Raw genomic sequence first — 6,024 nt, 5'->3', positions numbered from 1 at the left:
AAACCAACGAGAACAAAGACACAACATACCAGAATCTCTGGGACGCATTCAAAGCAGTGTGTAGAGGGAAATTTATAGCACTAAATGCCCACAAGAGAAAGCAGGAAAGATCCAAAATTGACACCCTAACATCACAATTAAAAGAACTAGAAAAGCAAGAGCAAACACATTCAAAAGCTAGCAGAAGGCAAGAAATAACTAAAATCAGAGCAGAACTGAAGGAAATAGAGACACAAAAAACCCTTCAAAAAATTAATGAATCCAGGAGCTGGTTTTTTGGAAGGATCAACAAAATTGATAGACCACAAGCAAGACTAATAAAGAAAAAAAGAGAGAAGAATCAAATAGACGCAATAAAAAATGATAAAGGGGATATCACCACTGATCCCACAGAAATACAAACTACCATCAGAGAATACTACAAACACCTCTACGCAAATAAACTAGAAAATTTAGAAGAAATGGATAAATTCCTTGACACATACACTCTCCCAAGACTAAACCAGGAAGAAGTTGAATCTCTGAATAGACTAATAACAGGGTCTGAAATTGTGGCAATAATCAATAGCTTACCAACCAAAAAGAGTCCAGGACCAGATGGATTCACAGCCAAATTCTACCAGAGGTACAAGGAGGAACTGGTACCATTCCTTCTGAAACTATTCCAATCAATAGAAAAAGAGGGAATCCTCCCTAACTCATTTTATGAGGCCAGCATCCTCCTGATACCAAAGCCGGGCAGAGACACAACCAAAAAAGAGAATTTTAGACCAATATCCTTGATGAACATTGATGCAAAAATCCTCAATAAAATACTGGCAAACCAAATCCAGCAGCACATCAAAAAGCTTATCCACCATGATCAAGTGGGCTTCATCCCTGGGATGCAAGGCTGATGCAATATACGCAAATCAATAAATGTAATCCAGCATATAAACAGAGCCAAAGACAAAAACCACATGATTATCTCAATAGATGCAGAAAAGGCCTTTGACAAAATTCAACAACCTTTCATGCTAAAAACTCTCAATAAATTAGGTATTGATGGGATATATTTCAAAATAATAAGAGCTATCTATGACAAACCCACAGACAATACCATACTGAATGGGCAAAAACTGGAGGCATTCCCTTTGAAAACTGGCACAAGACAGGGATGCCCTCTCTCACCACTCCTATTCAACATAGTGTTGGAAGTTCTGGCCAGGGCAATTAGGCAGGAGAAGGAAATAAAGGGTGTTCAATTAGGAAAAGAGGAAGTCAAATTGTCCCTGTTTGCAGATGACATGATTGTATATCTAGAAAACCCCATTGTCTCAGCCCAAAATCTCCTTAAGCTGATAAGCAACTTCAGCAAAGTCTCAGGATACAAAATCAATGTGCAAAAATCACAAGCATTCCTATACACCAACAACGGAGAAACAGAGAGCCAAATCATGAGTGAACTCCCATTCACAATTGCTTCAAAGAGAATGAAATACCTAGGAATCCAACTTACAAGGGACATGAAGGACCTCTTCAAGGAGAACTACAAACCACTGCTCAAGGAAATAAAAGAGGATACAAACAAATGGAAGAACATTCCATGCTCATGTGTAGGAAGAATCAATTTCGTGAAAATGGCCATACTGCCCAAGGTAATTTACAGATTCAATGCCATCCCCATCAAGCTACCAATGCCTTTATTCACAGAATTGGAAAAAACTACTTTAAAGTTCATATGGAACCAAAAAAGAGCCCACATCACCAAGTCAATCCTAAGCCAAAAGAACAAAGCTGGAGGCATCACACTACCTGACTTCAAACTATACTACAAGGCTACAGTAACCAAAACAGCATGGTACTGGTACCAAAACAGAGATATAGATCAATGGAACAGAACAGAGCCCTCAGAAATAACGCCACATACCTACAACTATCTGATCTTTGACAAACTTGAGAAAAACAAGCAATGGGGAAAGGATTCCCTATTTAATAAATGGTGCTAGGAAAACTGGCTAGCCATATGTAGAAAGCTGAAACTGGATCCCTTCCTTACACCTTATACAAAAATCAATTCAAGATGGATTAAAGACTTAAACGTTAGACCTAAAACCATAAAAACCCTAGAAGAAAACCTAGGCATTACCATTCAGGACATAGGCATGGACAAGGACTTCATGTCTAAAACACCAAAAGCAATGGCAACAAAAGCCAAAATTGACAAATGGGATCTAATTAAACTAAAGAGCTTCTGCACAGCAAAAGAAACTACCATCAGAGTGAACGGGCAACCTACAAAATGGGAGAACATTTTCGCAACCTACTCATCTGACAAAGGGCTAATATCCAGAATCTACAATGAACTCAAACAAATTGACAAGAAAAAAACAAACAACCCCATCAAAGAGTGGGTGAAGGACATGAACAGACACTTCTCAAAAGAAGATATTTATGCAGCCAAAAAACACAGGAAAAAATGCTCACCATCACTGGCCATCAGAGATATGCAAATCAAAACCACTATGAGATACCATCTCACACCAGTTAGAATGGCGATCATTAAAAAGTCAGGAAACAACAGGTGCTGGAGAGGATGTGGAGAAATAGGAACACTTTTACACTGTTGGTGGGACTGTAAACTAGTTCAACCATTGTGGAAGTCAGTGTGGCGATTCCTCAGGGATCTAGAACTAGAAATACCATTTGACCCAGCCATCCCATTACTGGGTATATACCCAAAGGACTATAAATCATGCTGCTATAAAGACACATGCACACGTATGTTTATTGCAGCAGTATTCACAATAGCAAAGACTTGGAACCAGCCCAAATGTCCAACAATGATAGACTGGATTAAGAAAATGTGGCACATATACACCATGGAATACTATGCAGCCATAAAAAATGATGAGTTCATGTCCTTTGTAGAGACATGGATGAAATTGGAAACCATCATTCTCAGTAAACTATCGCAAGAACAAAAAACCAAACACCGCATATTCTCACTCATCGGTGGGAATTCAACAATGAGATCACATGGACACAGGAAGGGGAACATCACACTCTGGGTACTGTTGTGGGGTGGGGGGAGGGGGAGGGATAGCGTTGGGAGATATAGCTAATGCTAGATGACGAGTTAGTGGGTGCAGCACACCAGCATGGCACATGTATACTTATGTAACTAACCTGCACGATGTGCACATGTACCCTAAAACTTAAAGTATAATAAATAAATAAATAAATAAATAAATAAATAAATAAATAAATAAAAAAGAATCAAAGTGAAAAAAAAAAAATCAAAGTCCTTTGGAGCCCAATTCCTTCTTTGTGAGTTATGTAATACATGCGTAGGAATGGAATCCTAGCATGAGCAGTAAAACAAGCATTTCCCATGCTTTCGAATGCAAGTGAGGTACCTTGGATTATATTTCTTTTGGTCTTGGCCAGACTTTCTGGTGTGGGGGGTTGGGGAGAGGAACACAGTATTTCTTTTTAAATTCATTTAAAAAGTTAGAAGTGTTGTAGGGATAAATTTAGAAGAAAAAATTGCCTAATAGTATAGCATTTTATATTAAACTGGTATTTTAAAAAATATTTCTAGCTTCCTAATTTCTAAATTAATCAAGAGCTCACTTTGCATTAGATAAATTAATCCTAAGAACGGCTAAAATAAACGTACTTATTTAATCACAGAAGTTATTAAGATACTATTAAGATATGGAAAAATTTCAAATCTCTTGCTAATATCAAATCACATTATTAAGTTGTTTTGATAATGAAAAGAAGTTTAAGTGCAGCTTGAAGACAAGACTAAAAGGATAAAGAAACACTTCACTAGTCTTCTACCACATTTTAATCATGCCAGAGAATAGTGAAATCTGCTAATATGTGTAAAATAGCCAAATGAGGCTAATCAATTCATAAAAATGAGGAAGCCACAGAAAATATCTGTCTGCTTCTCATTTACAGAAGAGCAATCTGAATGTATATTTTAGGAAAAATTGTAATTAGAAAAGGCCCATTTTCTTAGTTACCCATTTTAGATTCAATTGTGAAGAACTGTCAAAAATAATATGAAGGCAGCTGTTTCCAATTATACTTATTTTGACAACTGAAAATGAGTAAATAAACCAAAAATAGTTTAGTATTTAATCAACGTAGCTTCTTAATACTAAGCAAAATAATTATGCTTTATATTAATGTACAATTAAAGAAACACATGTTAATGTTTAAATAGAAAGGAATTATTTTCCTAAATTCTCAGAAATTCATTTTTATACAAATTGAGGTAAACAAATTTAGGCAGACAAAGTATATCTTCATAAACACAAACATTCCAAAGAAGTCATGCCCAGTCTCTAAGTCAGATATTCAAATTCACTCAACACAAGTTCATAAAAGGTTTCCACAATGTTTGTTATTTGAAAGATAAGTCAAAATAGAATGTCAATACAATAATAGTACAAATGTGACTCAACCCTCCTAAATATTTTCCATTCTGCCAAAGGTAGATTTCTACCCTAATTCTTAAGAAAAACAACAAAAACAAACAACTAACCTGTTTTATAGTAGGAAAACTTCAACTTTCTGACTTTCTATTTGGAAGGAATGCTCTTTCATATATCAAAACAAACATATAAATAATAAGGACAAGGCAAAAAGAAGGGAAACATAAACAAGAGAATTAGCTGTCAATCATATAAAAGAGCTAGCGTAATACTGCAGAAACAATACAGGAATCTGGGTTTTTCTTATCTAGACTGCTATGAAGTATTTGGAACACCATTTAAACATTTTGTATTTTTTGGTTAAAACATCTTTCTAATAAGGACCCACCCTTCTTTCATTAGAAACCTGCATGTTTCTTTGAAGCTTTCATTAAGACCTTTCAATAGAAGGAATAGGGATTTTTCTCAAGAGAAAAGAAGTGAACATTCAAAGGCAGCTCTAACCTTATATATAATATACTATGGGACACTAGAAAACCTGCCTGCTCCCAGACAGGCAGGTTCAATTAGCCTGACATCACCTAAAATTTCCACTAATTTGTTATATTTACAGAATTTCTTTGGGGATCAGAAATTAATTCTAAAAGATTCCTGTTATTAAAGTGCAAAGTGGTATATTCCTGCTATTTATCTTTCCAGCAAGCTAGCTGGCTATGCCTAGCTGGGAGCAGATACATAAGGGAAGGGGACACTCAACTATTTCAGGTCAGTGGCCGGGCACGGTGGCTCACACCTGTAATCCTAGCACTTTGGGAGGCCGAGGTGAGCTGATCCGCTGAGGTCAGGAGTTCAAGACCAGCCTGGCCAACATGGTGAAACCCCATCTCTATTGAAAATACAAAAATTAGCTGGGCGTGGTGGCAGGTGCCTGTAATCCCAGCTACTCAGGAGGCTGAGGCAGCAGACTCGCTCAAACCCAGGAGGCAGAGGTTGCAATGAACAGAGATTGCGCCACTGCACTCCAGCCTGGGTGACAGAGCGATACTCTGCCTCAAAAATAAATAAATAAATAAATAATAAATAGACTGTTTCAGGTCAGTGGCTATCCATCCTTACCAAGGACAGTAGGGTGAGGAAAAGATCCAGAGCAAGGGGTATGGTCTAAAGGCAAATCTGTGGGGGCTTTGAGGGGGGTGTCCTTAAACAAAGCCATGTGGGAATAGTCATGTTATACCAGAAACTTGGGGACAGTAAGAGAACTAAAAAACACCATTTTCCTACTTTACCATTTGATTTCCTAAATACTTTTCATTGCCAGAGGTAGCTTCATTCACAGTACTAGTTGAATGTACCAGAAAAAAGCAACATGTTACCGTACTGTAAGTTTTGTGTTTCTCCATATTTGGAAAAAGGAGCTGTTTCTTCATATAAATCTGTGCCTTGTTTTCTGCCTTTGAGTAATAATTCTGCTTTTCCCTAATTCCTTATCTGACTAGTGCTGCAGCAGGTCAGGCATAAAACAGAGGACCAGTCAGGATCATTCCACCTTAACATTAAACAATCAGGCCAAGGGCAGGATGGAGCCAGGAGTAGC

Source organism: Homo sapiens, chromosome 2 (genome assembly GCF_000001405.40).
Source record: "Homo sapiens chromosome 2, GRCh38.p14 Primary Assembly".
Classification (NCBI taxonomy): domain Eukaryota; kingdom Metazoa; phylum Chordata; class Mammalia; order Primates; family Hominidae; genus Homo; species Homo sapiens.
This window is presented reverse-complemented; position numbering follows the sequence as displayed.